We start from the raw sequence: 19616 nt of genomic DNA, 5'->3' as shown, positions 1-19616 counted from the left end.
CATTGTGGAAGTCAGTGTGGCGATTCCTCAGGGATCTAGAACTAGAAATACCATTTGGCCCAGCCATCCCATTACTGGGTATATACCCAAAGGACTATAAATCATGCTGCTATAAAGACACATGCACACGTATGTTTATTGTGGCATTATTCACAATAACAAAGACTTGGAACCAACCCAAATGTCCAACAATGATAGACTGGATTAAGAAAATGTGGCACATATACACCATGGAATACTATGCAGCCATAAAAAAATGATGAGTTCATGTCCTTTGTAGGGACATGGATGAAATTGGAAATCATCATTCTCAGTAAACTATTGCAAGAACAAAAAACCAAACACCGCATATTCTCACTCATAGGTGGGAATTGAACAATGAGATCACATGGACACAGGAAGGGGAACGTCACACTCTGGGGACTGTTGTGGGGTGGGGGGAGGGGGAGGGATAGCATTGGGAGATATACCTAATGCTAGATGACCAGTTAGTGGGTGCAGCGCACCAGCATGGTACATGTATACATATGTAACTAACCTGCACAATGTGCACATGTACCCTAAAACTTAAAGTATAATTTAAAAAAAAAATGGTGTACTTTTGGAAGACGGATGAAGTCCATAGGTGAGGATGCTGCTTGGAGCACCTTTGGTGTACTGAGACAACAGCAAGCAGCACTCTCAAACCGTGGTGCCAACCCCAGGACGCAAAGGAGACACCGACGGCTTGAAGGGCAAACAATGCTCAGCAAGGACTGAAGCACATGAAAGCTTTTCGAACACAAATGAGATCCTACCCTTCCCTCCTTCCTCCAAATTCAGGAATCCTGGAAATAAAATGGGCAAGACTGAGACAATGCAAAGTGTCTAGCGATAAGGAACCAGAAAACGAGCTTGCAAAATTCCACTTGTTAGGGTTGATGATGCTAGGACATTGTGACCTAGTGGGGAGCAAGAAAGGTGGGCAAACAAGGAAATACTTGCTTGGATTTCAGAGAGTTACCAGTCTCATGATAGAGGCAGCTGTTACGGTACGGAAGCCAAAAGGGGAAGTGGCCAATGTCAAGAAGGGATAGCTCCATTGGGTTGGGAAAGAAAACTGAGATATACATAACTTGGGGAGGAGACAGGTTTAAATGAAAGTTCCTCAAACTTAGTTTACCATGACCTCTAGCGTCTCAGAAATGCTTCAAGGTGCATCTAAGCCAAAAGAAATGTCTAATAGCATAGCTCCATTTAATCATTAGTTAAGTTCGCACAATTTAAAAAGTATCTGTTTTGACAACTTACAGAGGATCCTCATTGTTTGCCTACTTGCTACGTGTTGGTAACCCCAAGACCAAGCCTCACAGTGCTTTTTCAAGTCACTCAGGGACATGCACAAGATGGTGAACATTTTGAGTCACTTGAGCCACATGTTCCCAGCAGAGGTGACAACACGTTGCTCTGTCTTCCTGTTGAAGTGAATGTCCTTTCTGTGGTTTGGTGCCACATTTCTCTCATTTTTTTGTGCTTTATGTTAGTGAATTTGCTGTTTAAAATGAACCAAAACATAGTATTGGAGTGCTTTCTAGTGTCCCTAAGCTCAGGAAGGCTGTGATGTAACTTACAGAGAACATATATTTGTTAGATATTCTTTGTTCAGGCAGGAGTTACATTACTGTGCTGTTGGCCAAAAGTTCTATATTAATAAATCCACTATAAATAAAACAAGGTGTTTTTAAACAGAAGCTCACATAAAGCAAGGTTATGTATTGGTTGGCTGATGAAACTGTTGTGGTCAGAAGCTTGCAGGAACCACTCCTGTATTTCCCTTAGGAATAATAGTTCAGTATTTGCTAATTCACTGTCTGGGGTGACTTTATGGAACATAACTACTGCAGATAATGAGAATTAATTGTAGTTATTTGAAAAACAGTACATATAAATTGAAGGAAAAAACATGCCTTCACTTCATCTTAAATATCCCAAATTGCTTAAGAATGTGTGTTCTTGCTGAGTGCTACACACGTTCTCAAATGCAGAATCATATTGAGAACTGCCACCTTCATTTCTGGTTCCACTGTGCTTTTTACATATGTTTAATAAGAGCAATCACTGGAAACACAATTTCAAGAAGATATAACATCATTAATACAAATATTGCATGCTCTAATGATGAGACTGGCAAGTTACATTATCCCACAGGAAAATTGCGTATTCTGTGTTTCCCATGGAAATGTAAACTATCCTGCAGAATCTTAGTAAATTTGCTGTGACTTCCTGGGCACCTCAGCACACTGTTTGGGAACTGTGGGTCTAATTAAAGAATGTATAAAGCCAGAGTGAAATTAAACGCCGTTGGCCAATGAACAACATAGATTTGAAATGCACGGGTCCACGTATACATGAATTTTTTTCAATAAAAGTTACAAGTGGCTGCATTGTATTCCATGGTGTGTATGTACAACATTTTCATTATCCAGTCTATCACTGATGGGCATTTGGGTCGATTCCATGTCTTTGCTATTGTGAATAGTGCTGCAATGAACATACACATGCATGCATCTTTGCAGGGACGTGGATGAGGCTGGAGGCCATTATTCTCAGCAAACTAAGACAGGAACAGAAAACCAAACACCGCATCTTCTCATTTATAAAGTGGGAGCTGAACAATGAAAACACATGGACACAGGGAGGGGAACAACACTCCCAGGGGCCTTTCAAGGGAGGGCATTAGAGAAAAGAGCTAATGCATGCTGGCTTCAATACCTAGATGATGGGTTGATAGATGCAGCAAACCACCATGGCACACATTTACCTGTGTAACAAACCTGCACATCCTGCACATGTACCCCAGAACTTTAAAATTTTTTTGAAAAAGTTACAAGTGGAGTGTGCTTGCCTCTCCTGCCTCCCCTTCCACTTGCCTCCTCCAACTCCTCCGCCTCCACTGTTCCTGAGACAGAAAGACCAATACCTTCTCTTCCTCCTCCTCAGCCTACTCATCGTGAGGATGCCGAGGATGAAGACTGTTAGGATGATCCACTTCCACTTAATCAATAGTAAATACATTTTCTCTTTTTCATGACTTTCTTCATAACATTTTCTTTTCTGTAGCTTGCTTATTATAGTACTGTTCATAATGCATATAACATATAAAATATGAGTTAGTTAACAGCTTATATTATCGGTGAGGCATCCAGTCCATAGGAAGCCATTAGTAGTTAAGTTTTAGGGGAGTTAAAAGTTATATGTGGATTTTCAACTGCACAGGGTTTCAGCACCATAATGCCTGCAGCGGTCAAGGATCAATTGTATTCTGTTTAAGAGATAACCAATACGGTTATTTTTCCAATATGGAAAAATTATAAGAAATGGCAAAAATGTGGCTGGAAAATGAATTTTGAACTAGCAAATGAATACCATCTTGAAAGTGTTTAGTTTTTGTTCTGAAGCTCACAGATTCAAAGAAAGTTTTAAAGAGGAGAGAGTGGATTGGTAAATCTGTACATAGATAAGCTTATACATAGATATTTCTATGCATAGAGATAGATAAACTCGTGTGTGTGTGTGTGTGTGTGTGTGTGTGTGTGTGTGTGTGTATTATTTTTATGTTTTAGGAGCATAATATGGTGGCCATGAGGGGTGGATTGAATTGAGGAGAAATTATAGTTAGGGAGACTGGCCCATATAATAATTTTAGTGCAAGTTGAATAAGAAACTTACCCAAAGCATTAGGAAAATATTCTTTTCAAGAATATATTAAATTGGCTGGATATAGTGGCTCACACTTGTAATCCCAGCACTTTGGGAGGCCGAGGTTGGTGGATAACCTGAGGTCAGGCATTCGAGACCATCCTGGACAACCAACATGGCAAAACCCCATCTCTACTAAAAATCCAAACCTAGCCAGGCATGGTGGTGGGGGCCTGTAATCCCAGCTACTCAGCAGGCTGAGGCAGAAGAATTGCTTGAACCTGGGAGGTGGAGGTTGCAGTGAGCCGAGATCGTGCCACTACACTCCAGCCTCGTTGACACAGTGAGACTCTGTCTCAAAAAAATAAATAAATAAAAGAATATATTAAATAGATTATGTGAATACAAGATCCAAAGGATTTAGTTAGCTATTAGAAATAAAGTGATGTATACATATCCTCTGACTCCTGGCTTCTTAGATTGGGCACCTAGGTGGAAGATGATGCTATTAGCTAAGCTACATCCTGACCTGCCTTTTGTATTCTTTTCACTCCTGTGAGCTGTGGATAAATTAAAACTCAGTTTAGTCTGCATGTTAGCTGATCTCTAACATCATTGCTGATGTCCATCACTGTTTCATTTTCTATCAATGCCAAACCATATTCCATGCTGAAGACATGGAATATTGTTAATTTTAGTTTCAGGGGCCCATTCCTATACATTCCAGGCTATTTTCAGATTTTGTTTTCAAGTCAAGCCTTATTAAGTCAAACCTATGCCCATTGGTAAAGGTACCCATGCAACTTTTCTATAATGAGCACACATGGGTAACAGTTAACACCGGCCTTCCTTCTGGATTGCAAACACTGCCCATTAAACACAGAGACAGGGCTTACTAGGGGAGAAGGAGGTTGGCGTGAGTGTGGGCTTGGGTAATGAGTTTGGCCACAGTCAAAGCCTGAGGAGTTCTAGGTACCCAGTGGGCAGACACACTCTTGATCTGGCCTTCAGAAGAGGTCAGCAGGTGCCCCCCCCCAACAGACAGGGAGACATCATCTCAGGAGCAGGCTGGTATCCTGCTGCCCCGCTGAGGAGCTGAGCATCCCTGCTGAGGGAAGCCTCCATTTGCAGGGTAGGTTGAGGGAAAGAAACTAAAGTAAGGGCAGCCAGTTTTTACAAGCAAGAGGACAGTGTACTTAGATGGAAGCTACCTCATGAATGTCAGGTGAAGAGGCAGAGCTAGCACTGATCATTCGGCATTCGCCTAACAAATATTTACAGAACACAGAACACAACAGATGACATCCTCGCTATTATTGATTCAAGCAGGGAAAGAGATGTCAAAGAATATATGTAATTACACTTTAAAAGTATTTACTGCCTTAATATTTAATAAATAGCTCACCCCTATTATCATTGCTTCTTGTTATTCCTTCTTCTCCTGATATCCAGGGGCTTGATCTTGTGGGATTTTCTCATTCACCTCTTCAGCAAGGATTTCGCCATGTTGGCCAGACTGGTCTCAAATTCTTGGCCTCAAGAGATCCACCTGCCTCAGCCTCCCAAAGTGCTGGGATTACAGGCATGAGCCACCGCTCCTGGCCCCCAAAGAACTTTTATTTGTGTGGGCCTTATCAGCTTTATCTATTGATACGTATTGTACTTGAAATCAAAACTGGGAAATTTTAAAAATAATTCATTTAAAAATAACAAAAATAAGCTATTACAGTAGCCTCGCCTTCCTGGTGGGGCATCTGTTTCAACACCCCCAGTGGATGCCTGAAACCAAGGAAAATACAGAACCGGATAGCTGTCAGTCTCAGCGTTTCCCTTTGTGTCTTCCACCCACAAATTTAATGAGCTTTTCACCTTAACTAAGCCCCTAGCACTCACTGTGGCCATAACTTCTGCAGTTTGAGATGTGACAGTAAAGCCAGTACAATTTTTTTCTTCATTGAAATTTCATGGATAGAAGATTCATTCTTACTGCAGATCTTAGCAACCTCAGCATCTAATTTTTTTCTCAGTAAGTCAGAAACTTTCGCTTTTGCTTAAAGGAAGAAATTTACAGCTTTCTCTTTGGCATATCCAAATTGCCAGCATCACCACTCTTGTCCTTTGGGGCCATTATGAAGTAAAATAATGGTTTCTTGCACACAAATACCACAATACTCAGACGGTGTATCTGATCGCTGAAACAGCTGAGTGACCAGGGGGTGGGTGGCAGAGACAAACATGGACCCATTGGACAAAGGGAGGATTCACATCCTGGGCAAGACAGAGTGGTACAGCAAAGATTTCATCACACCACTTAGAACAGTGCACAACTTAACACTTAGAAATTTTTTATTTCTGGAATTTTCCATTGACTATTTTCAGACAGTGATGGACCATTTCTGCAGGTAACTAAAACCTCCAAAACAAAAACCAAGTTTAAGGGAGGAATACTGCACATGCTAACTGAAAGCACATATTTTGCTGGAAAAGTCACTCTATTTTTTAAAATCTCATGAGATGAATCACATCATTTCTCACTTTTGCAAACTGTTTTAATGTCTGGCTTAAAAAACAGGTAGATCCTCATGGCTGCATGTGCAGTCACTCTGCTGCAGTATCACATGCTACAACCTCAAGAAAATCCACGTTGCCTCACGAGAGATAGCGAGTGAAAAAGGCAAATGACACTTAGTAGTATTACAAAAATAATACATCTGACTCCACCAGCCCTTTGGACAGGGCCTTGAGCACCCCCAGAGCCCCTGGCCACACATAGAGGCCTGTGGCCCCAAGAACCTGCCTGCATGTGGCCAGCCCATGCTGACATCTTTGGACTGTGCCTTCTAGAGCATTCTTCCATGGACGTTACCATTCTCAACAGTAGGAAAATCATGAACTTATATGTATTTTTCCTCTTATCATCTCTCAATGACTCATAGATAGGAGCATCCGGAGCATCCTCCACCACCCACGTGTGTCAGACCATCCTTGCATTGCTATAAATAAATGCCTGAGGCTGGGCAATTTATAAACAAAAGAGGTTTACTGGCTTGCGATTCTGCAGGCTGTAGAAGCCTGGCGTCAGCATCTGCTCAGCTTCTGGGGAAGCTTCAGGGAGCTTTTACTCATGAGAGAAGGTTAAGCAGGGTGGGTGCATCACACGGCCAGACCAGGAGCACGAGAGAGAGTTGGGGAAGATGCCGCACACTTCTAAACAACCAGATCTCTTGAGAATTCACTCACTATCAGAAGACAGCACTCAACAAGAGGTATCTGTCCCCATGACCCAAAAACTTCCCACCAGGCCCCACCTCTACCACTGAGGATTAAATTTCAACATGAGATTCAGAGGGGACAACATCCAAACTATATCAGCATGTAAACTAGAAAAAAAGGGCACATTTTAAAAAGTGCTAACCTTTTCAGAACAAATTATTCATTATGTCTCATCAATACTGCCACCATAAGTTAAGCTGAACTGAAAGGGTAGAAGAAATTGATTCTTTCCCTCTCATATTTCTACATGTCACAAGATAATTAGTTCCCCTAGCCAAGTCACTCAAAAATTTAAAAATTATTTCTTGCATGTAATGTAATGCAGTTTACTTTGGTATTTTTTTCAGTTTTGTTTATTTTTTGAATTAAGAAATTTATGGATATCTAGGCCAGGCGTGGTGGCTCATGCCTGTAATCCCAACACTTTGGGAGGCCAAGGTGGTAGATCACGAGGTCAGGAGATCGAGACCATCCTGGCTAACATGGTGAAACTCCATCTCTACTAAAAATACAAAAACAAAATTAGCCGGGCGTGGTGGTGGGCTCCTGTAATACCAGCTACTAGGGAGGTTGAAGCGGGAGAATGGCATGAACCTGAGAGGTGGAGCTTGCAGTGAGCTGAGATCACACCACTGCACTCCAGCCTGGGTGACAGAGCAAGACTCCGTCTCAAAACAACAACAACAATAAAAAAGACATTTATGGCTATCTAAATTGTGCTATTTAATATATAACTTATGATCAACCCAATCATGTAAGAATACTCTTGGGAAGCATGTATTGATTTTAAGCTGTGTTGGAGACCTAGAAATATACTGGGGGGAATAACTTGAGCTGAACAAGAGAAATATGAGGCAATCTAGTACTACTTTTAAAAAACTGTGTAAGGTTTTTGAAAAAAAAATTAGTCCAAAGTTTCTACTTTGTATTCATGCTTCTGATATCTCTTATATTAGCGTCATTATTTTCCATTAGTTTCTATAACTAAAGCTATTTTATACCAGTTCTATCATTGACTGAAAAAAAATTAAATTGCTGTAGGATTTAGACTTCTGAAATGGAATGGTGTTTTCAACTCTGCTGCAATTGTGCGTCAGTACAGGCTGCTCCACCTTAGAGTGATTAGGGTTTTGTGAGAGATGTATAACAAATTGCAGGGCTAATCAAGGGAAAATTACCCAGCAGTTGAGGTGGGTTTTAATTAATTATATTGCTAGCTTGTTAGGGAGAGATCTTTGAAAAGGTAATCAAAGAAACATCACATATGAGCTGTTTGTTCTCTTAGCACTATTTTTAAAATGGAAAATTCTTGACTACTCTTCAGTCCATCTTCAAAGCCTCCTCAAGGTCTTGGAGTGGAGTTAGGTGTCCTTCTGGTAACTTTCTGATTTGTCTCCCTTCTGCCTGTGTGGAAATAAACAAAAACCACTGAAATAAGAACAAACGAAGGGTGTTTGTTCAGAGCTTGCCATAGCAAGGGAGTTGGCCACCATCACCTGTGTTGGCAGAGACTCAAAGGCAGGCAGAGGAGTGGGAAAGCTTCTTGGTGGAAAGAGGGGAGGGAAGGCTCCAGGTGTGCCCTGATTGGAGGCTGTTGGTGTGGAGGAGCTGGAAGTGACTAACTAGAAGTAGGGCCTCCTGTGTGATTGGTTAGGGGGGTATGTTTGGCTTACTCTGTTGCCTGGAAAATATACTAGACAGTAAGAGCAGGCACCTGTTCCATTATTAACATCTATATCCACAAATTCTAGAACTGAACTCCTCTTTAAAGGAAGGTGACAGAAAGCCCTTGCACATGGTGGGGGCACAGTGGCACACACCTGTAATCCCAGCACTTTGGGAGGCTGAGGCAGGTGGATTACTTGAGGTCAGGAGTTCAAGACCAGTCTGGCCAACATGGTGAAACCCCATCTCTACTAAAAATACAAAAATTAGTTGGGCGTGGTGGTGCATGTGTGCCTATAATCCCAGCTACTTGGGAGGCTGAGGCAGGAGAATCACTTGAACCCAGGAGGTGGGAGGTTGCAGTGAGCCAAGATCGTGCCACTGCTCTCCAGCCTGGGTGACAGAGCAAGACTCTGTCTCAAAAAAAAAAAGAAAAGAAAAGAAAAAAAAAACACTCCTTTTTATTGCAAAACACTAACCACAAAGTGCAAAGGAGCAATGAAAGTAGAAAATCACCAGCGTTGCAGGTGGAACCATAAATGGTGGCTAAAACTAGCAGTGACTGTTCCTCACCTTCTGTTCCTCTTTGAGACAGCCTCCAAGTATGTCCACATACATTACCTTTTAATTTGAAAGGAATGACTAATAACTTCACAGTGGGGAAAACTGGTAGGTACCACCTTAACCAAGTAACCAGTTAACCTCACCCAGGCCTGGAACAAATAAACATAATGGGCCTTTTGCAAAGCATGCACTGAGAGGAACGTAACACTCTGTAGCCTTCCTGGTGAAAAAGATAAAGATACAGGACAAAAAGCATAACCTAAATTTAATCTAACTCTGATCATGGGGGAAACAACAGATGAGCCCAAACTGAGGAACATTTAACAAAACAAATAGTTTGAATTCTGCAAAAATGTTAATATCATGTAACCAGTACACAGAGGAACTGTTTCAGATTAAATAGGCTAAAGAAACATGACAGCTAACTAGAACACATGATTCTGGATTGGATCCTGAATGGAATGTGGGGTTTCTTCTTTGTTTTTTGCTTAAAGGACATTAGTTGGATAATTGGTGAAATTTTAATAAACTCTGAGATTAGATAATAGTAGTATTATCTATTTCCCTAATTATGCTATTTCCTTAATTATGATAACTGCACTCTTGTTACATAAGACAATGTTCCGGTTCTTAGGAAACACAAAATGAAGTATTTAGGGTTAAAGGGGTATGTTGTATGTTACTTGCTTTCTGACAGTTCAGGAGGAAACATAAAACAGTTGAGGAATGATAAAGCAAACACAGTAAAGTGGTGATATTTGGGAAATATGGACAATTGGTATTATTTATCTAGTTTTTCTGTAAATCAGAAAGTATTTCAAAATAAAAAGTTAAATGTGAAAGAAATTAAAATAAAACCTGTTATGAGGATTAAATGAGTTAATGCTTACAAAGGATTTAGAATATAGACCTTAAAATATTAATGATTAGATGTAATTATTATTACCATAGAATTAAGAAGTGGCAAGGCTACCTCTATCTGGCCTATACACCCTTATCCTTAATTCCCTCATCTCTGCACTTCATCATTCAGAGTCTGGAGAAATCCAATGAGATAATGGATAGAAAAGTCTTTACATAAACTGTGAAGTGCTGTGGTTTGGTGAATGTCTGTAAGCTTGGATATGAACTCAGATTCTTGTGTGCAGCTACCTGATGATGTTTGTCTCTATTGCTGATGAGGTTCTTTGGACTCAGAAAGTTCAAATAACATCACTAAAGGGACAAAGTCAGGACTAAAACCCAGAGATCCAACTTTCAGTTCTGTCTTTTTAATATTGGATAGTGGGCTGCAAGGAGAAGTTTAGGAAAGGATAGTTTCTTTCACATACTGACATGTTTTTCTATTGCTCTGTCTGGTACAGCTCATTGCCAGCTGAGGTCAGGTTGTGGCCCCAGGACCCCGCCTCTGAGGCCAGCCTCTATTTCCTGGACGGCAGCCCACAGACTAGCGCGGGTGTCAGCAAGCCTAAGGGTAACCAGTTGCATTTTGGTTTTATTGTTCCTACTGCAGATACTGAAAATGGCATCATTCCTATATCTGATGCTAAAAAATAATGTTTTTCTCTCCACCTGAAAACACTGACAGAAAGGTAGAAGAAGCTCCTGCTGGCCGAGGATTTTGTCTCCTATACATATGCAAATACCTGAAGCATTTTTTTTCTAATGGTGGTCTATTTCCTTATGAACATTTCCAAAGACAAAGGGAACTACTTTTTTAAAAAAATCTATGGGTTGGCTAGGAAACAAATGTTTCTACCTGATCTTGTCAGTGGATAATGGGTTCCAAAAAGCAAGAATCTGAAATTCTTTTTTTTTTAAATACTGATCGGCCACATGAAAATTCGTTTCACTGATTAAATAGGAGGAGCCCAGATATAGATTTTCCTTTCTGAGGTACTAATTTCTCAAGCAAGGGAAGAAATCAATGTGTTTTTGCAATGCTACAGATGGAAAATCTCAGGTAAATCAGAAAACGAAGGCAACTTGTTTAGAGAAAGTGGTCCTGAAAGTTTCTATCGGTGAGTTTTCCCATCTGTAAAATAATCTATAGTTTTATTGTGAAATTTGAGTGGCATAATGAATGGGAGAAAAATATATTTATATGAACAATAGGTAAGAGAAATAAAATAGCCCAGATTCACCAATGGTGGAGTTAGAAGATATTTATTCTTCATCCCTGTCCCACCTGAATGCTTCTCAGCTGAGTAACTGAGCTTCCTGATTTGGTTGATTGTTCATGATGTGCTTCAAGTTCCTGAAACAGGAAGGAATTGTCCCTGTGAAAGCTCAGCTGGTTAGTTAACACAGGGTGAGAAAAGGAGAATTGAGGAACCCTGAATTTAAAAAAAGAAAGAAAGGAAATTCATATTATTATGAGCAAATGGATAACAGCAAGTGGATTTCTGAATGCTGCCTATCTGTAGGAATAAGTTTATTGTGCTTTGTTGTTATTGATGATTTTGTAAGGAAAATAATATTATAGTGCCAGAGGTACTCAGGAATTCCTCATGAATCTACAGACCAATAAAATAATTAAATAATCTGCTCCTTGTGTCTCTGAGTAATTAAACTAAAGGGTGCCAAAATATTTTATTTACCATTACACTTTGACAGAAGCAATCATCAGCATATAGCTTCCTGTATATAAACTGGCTTTGTGGTTCCTTTGGGAAGCAATAGATTTAAGTCGGTTTAGTGACTGTGTATTTACTACCTTGATCATAAGTAATGAACTCAATCCACTTAAAGTTTTACAACAGTAATTTGCATATTTGCCTTAAGATGGTAGTTTTTCTACTTCTATAAAGTTGACTGTTATTTGGACACTTTTATTTAACTCATTAAAATTTCTTTAAGATATCAACTTTGGCAGTATTTACGCAGAAAGGATAGTAAGTGTATAAGATATATATACACTATAAAAAGTGTACAATTTTTTCTGTTTCAAGGTAAAGTGTTTTAATAATGGCCACTGTCATTTATTAATTACTACAATTTATTAGGTATAACATGTCAGGCACTGGGGGAGATGCTTTTAACACATGCTCTCTACTTACAACAAACCTTGAAGATAGATACTATATAATTTTTTTTTTTTTTTTTTTTTTGAGAGGGAGTCTCTCTCTGTCACCCAGGCTGGAGTGCAGTGGCACCAGCTTGGCTCACTGCAACCTCCGCCTCCCAGGTTCAAGCGATTCTCCTGCCTCAGCCTCTCGAGTAGCTGGGACTACTGGCGCTTGCCACCACGCCCGGTTCATTTTTGTATTTTTAGTAGAGACAGGTTTCAACATTATGGCCAGGCTGGTCTCGAACTCCTGACCTCGTGATCCGCCCGCCTCGGCCTCCCAAAGTACTGGGATTACAGGTGTGAGCCACCGCGCCAGGCTGAAGGTAGGTACTATTACATCCATTATACAGAAGAGAAACAGAAGCCCACAGACTTTGCAACCCCCTCTGCGCCCCTCTACTATTAAGAAGGTGAGTCTTTCTGCAGTATTTCCTTTCTCTATCCCCACCAGCTATGGGTCTCTATCAGGTTGTTTGTTTCTGTTTTGTTTTGGTCACTTTTAACCACACTGTATGTATTTCACATTTATAAAATATAATTTTTCTTTTTTTTTTTTTTTTTTTTTTTTTTTTTTTTGAGACGGAGTCTCGCTCTGTCGCCCAGGCCGGACTGCGGACTGCAGTGGCGCAATCTCGGCTCACTGCAAGCTCCGCTTCCCGGGTTCACGCCATTCTCCTGCCTCAGCCTCCCGAGTAGCTGGGACTACAGGCGCCTGCCACCGCGCCCGGCTAATTTTTTGTATTTTTAGTAGAGACGGGGTTTCACCTTGTTAGCCAGGATGGTCTCGATCTCCTGACCTCATGATCCACCCGCCTCGGCCTCCCAAAGTGCTGGGATTACAGGCGTGAGCCACCGCGCCCGGCCATAATTTTTCTTTTTTTAAAAAATATCTGTGTAACACATTGTTCATTCAGGCAGTTCCGCAGAATTCCATGTGTCAGACATAATTAATACAATTGGGGAAATACTGAGTAAGCGTTTTCGGCCCACACTTTTGTTTGAACACAGTGCATTATACCCACTCGATTTTAGTTTAATTCCCGTGCTGTTTTACATTTCTGTAAACTCTTTGAGGGAGTTCTGGGCGCCCACTGTCTAGCTCAGAGTTCCAGGCTAAGGTAGGCACTAATGAATGCTGAATGAATTGGGTAGCCAGTTAATTGCTTTTTCCCCCCTAAAAAAAAAGTCTAAATTACTTGAATAAAAGTATTTGCGGATTTTTAAATAATACATTTAATGGCAGATCTCTGTCTCCAAAACGTGTGTCCTTCTAGCGACTGAGGGTGTGGGGTGGGGTGAGGGGTGACTAACCAGTCCCCCTGAGATGGGCCCAACCTTAGCAATATTATCCATCTACCTGGGATTCCCCTACACCTGAACAGCTCTTTGGGTCCGCGAGAGAACCAGCGGGGTGGGGCACCCAATGCCAGGAGTGCGCGCGGAGAGACACGCTGAAGTTCACAGGAGAGTATTTACCAGCAAACAAAGGGCGGCGCGGTTTGGGGTCCTAGGACCAGCTGCCGCCGTCTCGAGAAAACGCAAGGGCCGCGGTGACAAGTGGACATTCCGCACGCGACCAGACCGACACTCGATGGGCACCTCCCCGCGGCCCCGCCCGCAGGCTCCAGCTGCCCAGCTCGCAGCCGCCCACTGGCTCCGGAGGCTGCTTCAACCACTTGTCCCGCCGGCTTCTACCCCAAGAACTTTCCGTCCCTCTTGGGGTTGGGGACCGGCAGTGTGGAGGGGCGGGCAGGTGGGGGTCTCCAGGGAGCACCGTCACCGGACTTGGCGAGCTACCCTTCCCAAATGAAAGGTGGCCCGCTCCCAAGTCCATCCCATATCCTTAGAGAAGCTCTGGGAGCGAGGGCCAGGCGGCAGTGCGGAGCCTGGTTGAGCGAGATGAACAAAGGGAGCTAGCGAGCCGGGGAGGATGCTGCGCTCCCCTGCGCCCCACCCAGCCGGCTGCCAGGCGCTGCCAGGCGCGCAGGTAGCCCGGCCTTCCGCGCTGGCGGGGGGAGGTGTTGGACAGGGTACACAAAGACTCACTTCCGCCGGGGCAGGCGCCGGGACTCCCTCCTGGCCGCCCACAGCCTGTGCGCATTCCTGCATTCCTGCCGCCGCCCGGGACCCGAGTGCCCCGGAGGTGTCCAGGCGCGGTGCCAGGCGGGTACTGTGCAGGTAACCTTCGGAAGAACTAGGGCTGGATGGAGGCGGCGGCCGGGGAGAAACACGCCTTTTTAGGCAGCCGTGCTGCCCCGCACCGCCCCACGCAGCCCAAGTCTGCAGTCACTCTCCGCGACAAGCAGAAATCCGCGCGCAGCCAGGGAGCGCCCCGCCTGCGCTCGCCGGCGGGCCGAGCTGCCGGGCCGGGGGCGCGGGGAGGGGGCAGCCCAACTTCCCAGTGCCCGGCTCCCGCCAGCTAGGTGAGCCTGGAGCGGGAAGGATGAAAGGGATCGCGGAGAGGGAGGGGGCTCTGGGGCGAGCGGAGCTCGGGGGCGGGGCGCGGCGCAGCCTCGGTGCGTGGGCCGGGAACCGCCGCCTCTCCCCGGGGCTCGGGGCCGCGGTTCCTCTGGCCGCGGGAGCCGCCGCCGCGCTGCCCGAAACAATGAGGCGTGCAGCGCGGGGCTGAGCGTAGCCTCCCGCCGGCTTTGAGGCCGAGCCACCCGCTGTGCCCCGCCGCCCGCGCTTGCAGCTGCCGCCGGCGCGGAGCAGCGCTGGCCCCGGAGAGGTGATCCCGCAGGCCGCCTGGGACGGGAGCGCGGGGCAGCTCCGAGACCCCACGGTGGCAGGAGGAGGACTCGAGCCTGCGGCAGGACGACTCCCGCCGCGCACTCGCCTTCTGCAGCCCCCAAGTTCCGCGGCGTGAGTCGGGGACCCCGGCCAGGGTCCCAGCTCTAGCGGGCGCCAGCGTGAGTGTGGGAGCGCGTAGCGCGCGCACCCGAGCGGCTGCCGGGGAATAAAATGTGACACGCACGCCTTGGACTCCAGTGCCGCGCTGCCAGGGGGAGCACCGAGCACCACGGTGTCGTGCGCTTCGAGGCGCGGCGTGGGAAGAAGGCTGGTAAGGGAGGGCACTGGGTAAGGGTTGGCGACGCCTTTCTTGGTGGCGCTGCAGCCTCCGCGCTGCTGTGCGCGGAGTTACACTCCGTGTTTAGGAGCGAGACCCGTGTGTGGGGAATGTTGAAGGTGGTTTGGGGAAAAGCAGGAAATTCTGGAGAAGCGAACGGGAGGACGGCTTGCGCTTTGGGGACGGGCGGATACAGTTGTGCCCCTGTGGCTCAGTAAAGGTGATCTTTTATTTTGGCTCTTTTGGCTCTGGAAGGGAGTGAAGATTTTTGTCTTTCTTCAGCCAACCCCCGTACAAAACTGCACTTCTTAAAGGTTAAAGTGTGTTCTGTTCATTTCTGGTTCTCTGTGGCTATAATGTTTGGGGTAGTAGGGATCTTTAGAATCCTAAATACCCGAGTGTTAATTCTTATGTAGTTGGCAGGCGGCAAACTCCGCTTTTGGGTTTACTTTCCGCGGTGTTACGGAGTGGATATTTGATGCATTCTTTTGAGTAGGGAGTGTGACGTCCATCTCATTCGGATTTGCCGGTTCTGTGTTGGGGGACTGAGTGAAGTTAAACTCAATGGCTCCCGCAAGTGCTGCCTTCCAAAGAGCTGAATAGCTGTGTTTGGAGAAGCTGTGCTTTCCAGGAATTTAAATGAGACTTTTTGTGATTGCCTTCCAGGTCTCTCCTCCTAGTACCATATTTGTTTTGTCAGGCTGAACTTTCAAAGCTGTTTTGTAATCTGAGAAGCACTTTTGGGGGGAAAGTAATGCTTGGCTGGATTTTTGTGAACTTATTTTTATTGGACATGCGAAAAATTTGGCGAGAGGCAAACCATATTTGGTTGAAATCATTGTCTTTTGCACCACTGCCGTTCTGACCATAAAGGGGCATGCTGACCCTCCTCGCCGAGGACTGCCTGCTTGGGTGAGGGGGGTCTTTGGTGGGCTGGAAGCACATTTTGTATTTAGAGAACTTTCTGCACACTTGAAAAACCCCATGCTGGTTACTTTGATGCTTCCCTTTTTTGAAATTCTGATCAACATTTTTTGCCAACTTGAAATATAATTTATGACCAAGGAAGAATTCCAATAAAGTGAAGTGCTATATATATATGATGTATATGTATATACATACACATATGTATATATGTGTGTGTGTGTATGTATATATATATATATATATATATATATATGCGCTGCAAATTTAGGGTTAAAACTTTTTTTAAAAGGAAAACTGATGTGTGGCCTTGAACCTGTTTTTACCCACTCTCCTTCCCCCATTATTTTTCTGGAACTGACAACCAAAATTTTTATATACCACTTGAGGAATTTTGTACTAATGCATTAAAAGAAACTGTTGGCAAAGGTGAATGGATATTGTGCTCAAAACTGATGAAAGTCTAAAATAATAGGTGAAGTGCCTTGAATTTTACTGCAAAGTTAAAAAGGCACTCTATCCAATTTTTGCCGCAATAGATACAAATGGTAGCATCTTACATTTTTGCTTGGTGCTGTGAAAGCTTCTGGAGTTTTGAGTTAAATGTCTTGTAGAGATTGTGATAGGAGTCACTGCTTTATATGGAGTACTGAGCTCCACAGTTTAGAGAGGCTTTGGATGGATACTCCTGGAAAGAGTGAGGTCAGAGCAAGGACCAACATTTGGTGAGTTTGCTATGTGGTGCACAGGATCTAGGAAGCAAGGATACAAAATTCAGGATTTTTAGACTAGAGGATTCAAAGTTGAGACAATTTAACATTTGAAAATATGTGAATGATTTATTATGCAGAAGAGGGCAGTTATCTGTGTTGAGTTTCTGATGAGGATAATTAAGAGGGAAAAGGTTTACTCTGTGGGGTGAAGACATAAGTTGAGTCTAGGGAGTTGTGGCCAATCCAGCCAGCAAAGATTAAATAGCGAAGGGACTGCTGAAAAAATTCCTGTACGTGCTTGTTTCTGGAGGTTCCACCCCCCCACCCCCGAGTTTCTCTTCTTTCTGAGATGATTTCAGTGTGTGAGGCTCTGGTCTATTGCTTATACTGATACTGACTGAAATTTTACCCTCCAGGTTTAGAATTTATCCAAGCATTTCTCAAATGATTAAATCTTTTCTGAAAGACAAACTGATTTCTAGGCTTCTGCCACTCCTTCTTAGGTAAATAAATGATAGGTTCCTTTCCAAAAACTTGGAGATATTTGTCCTCTGGGAAGCTCTTAATTAGTTTGCAGATTGCTACCTCATGGGTGAGACTTTGAATAAAAATATCTTATGCATGATAATAAGGACAGTCTTTGTTAATGCATTTGCTCTTTAAATGTATTGTGTTATTCCTGATTGATTGAGTTTTTTCTTTTCCTGGATTTTCTGTAATATGATCTTAAAATTTAATTGCTTAAATTAAATTAAGTACTTAATTCAGCATGCATAAATGTCTAAGGGAATCAGATAGTACCCTCATGGCAGGTGTATGTTAAGCTTTGATTTTCTAAGCATTGAAATCTGAAATCTCATCCCTTAAAAAAAATGGGATGAAATTCCCAAATGACTATAAAAGTAACAATTGCATATAATTATATACTAATTTTGGAAAGTGGAAGGGAAACACAGATGCATATTTGCACAGAAATTTTCAATGTTCTTACACCAATTTTTGATATCAATGCCAAACACTGAATGGGCTGTAGATGACCAGCCACTGTTAGTGGATTACCACATTTTCAGTTTAATATACCTACCATTTTTCCGAAAGCTCTCCTTCCAACTTTTGAGAAATTTCTTTCTAAATGTTATTAAGTACACAATGCGAAGATATCAGTGTTAGAGAAACACGGATTTATTATGCCCCTTACAAAATTTGAAATTTACCCTTGCTTGGTCCCAGCCACCTCCCACCCCTCCCATTGAATTGATAGGGGAACAGTTGCAATTCAAAATACTTGGCATCTACCTAGTCCACAGGTGAAATACATTTAAAGGGGATGAAGTATGACCTGGGCAGTCCTAAGGCTTTGCAGGAGTTGGTGATCTGGTCCAGCTCCAGCATTGGTCCTAGCCCTGGTGAAAGCAGGGTCCCAGCAGTTGTGACTATTATCTTCACTTTGCCACCTGCAGGTTCCTGATTATCCCACAGTACCCAGGGCCTACTGGTTGGTTGGGAGAATTGTTCTGTGTATGGAAATGACATCAGAGGCATGCTGCCCACTGCGGAGGACTTCTATCTGGACGGAACTGTTCTGTGCCATCCTGGCTTCTGCTGCCCTCTGTGGTCTTGTCTAGGGAAGAAGTCCAAATTGAAGGCATGCAGTGGCTTTACAAAGCTAGAAGCATGTGAAGGCTAGGTTTGTAGTTTTGCACTGGACTTTCTTAGAGAGCAAAGGAAAGCTATTGGCCAGTGCTTCTGCAGCGACCAGCACTGGAGAAAGACAGCCTTATCAGAGCTCAGTTTCCAAGGCTGGAAAAGGAAGGCTTATATTAAATCCTTTCCCACATGTCTTCTGGTGTGAGATTCCACAAAACTGATAATTGTAAGTTGTGGCATACTTAAAAGCTAATTCCTGTGCAGCCTCAGGAGATGGTAGTAATTCAAAGAATAATAATAGTAACTAATTTGCACTTATGATGTACTACATCCTGCCATTTGCTTTGCACAGATTATCAAAGTGTACTTTAGCCACAATCCTGGGAGGTATCATTGTGCCCATTTTACAGGCGAGAAGACTGAACCTCAGGAAGGTAAAGTGCCTTGGCAGAACTGGGATTTGAACCTGTGTCTGGGTGTCCAAAACCCATGCTATTAGACTGAGATCCCCTCAACAGAGGAAAACAAGAATGACAACTCCTGTAATTGTGTGGGGCCAGAGACCAACTAAGACTATCAGTTTTCATGTCCTCAAATCAGGCTGAGCCTGCTGGATGGGGAAGATTGTATATGATGGAAGAGGATGTCAGGGAGCCCATGTATACAGAAAGCATGTGTTCATCAGAACCTGGAAGCAGAAAAGGTTTTAAGCTGCAACTTAAAAATGGGCTATGAAATGTGGAATATCCAGGCAGTCATTATTAGAATGAAATTTGGGCTGATACGAAGCATGTCATATCAAGTGAAATTTCCAAGGAAAAATTTAGGCTAAGATTCAAGAAAATGATCCATCTGCTTTGAGTTACTGGGTTGGTAAGGAGAGCAAGTTCAAAAAGTAGTCTCCTGGGACATTTAAAAATACATTGGCTAAAGCATTAGAGAATACACTGTAAAGAAAAACTCTGCAATATCTTGATTATAAGTCTTTGTTTTCAGAAGTTTATAATTCACACTA

General features: G+C 43.3%; 1 protein-coding gene and 1 long non-coding RNA gene across 16 annotated transcripts in view; one reads left to right on the top strand and one right to left on the bottom strand.

The window, feature by feature from the left end:
* Positions 1 to 6006: 6006 nt before the first annotated feature.
* Positions 6007 to 14871, bottom strand: LOC124907864 (uncharacterized). Its single transcript, XR_007087169.1, has 2 exons — positions 14297 to 14871; positions 6007 to 8355 (listed from the first exon to the last, which is right to left on the bottom strand). It is a non-coding gene; the product is annotated as an uncharacterized LOC124907864 (long non-coding RNA).
* The window catches only part of ST6GAL2 (ST6 beta-galactoside alpha-2,6-sialyltransferase 2), an 85678-nt gene continuing 80188 nt past the window's right edge, over positions 14127 to 19616 (top strand). For 4 of the 15 annotated variants that reach the window (NM_032528.3, NM_001142352.2, XM_047446031.1 and 1 more), the window contains exon 1: positions 14295 to 14428. The gene's annotated coding sequence lies outside the window, so the exon portion shown is untranslated. Of the gene's footprint in view, positions 14238 to 14294; positions 14429 to 14534; positions 14674 to 15236; positions 15538 to 16167; positions 16230 to 19616 lie in introns of those variants that run through there. The other 11 variants (NM_001142351.2, XM_011512001.3, XM_011512000.3 and 8 more) reach the window with 6 other exon arrangements.

This window comes from Homo sapiens, chromosome 2 (genome assembly GCF_000001405.40).
Source record: "Homo sapiens chromosome 2, GRCh38.p14 Primary Assembly".
Lineage (NCBI taxonomy): Eukaryota > Metazoa > Chordata > Mammalia > Primates > Hominidae > Homo > Homo sapiens.
The sequence above is the reverse complement of the archived record's forward strand: the minus strand, read 5'-3'. Positions and strand labels throughout refer to the sequence as shown.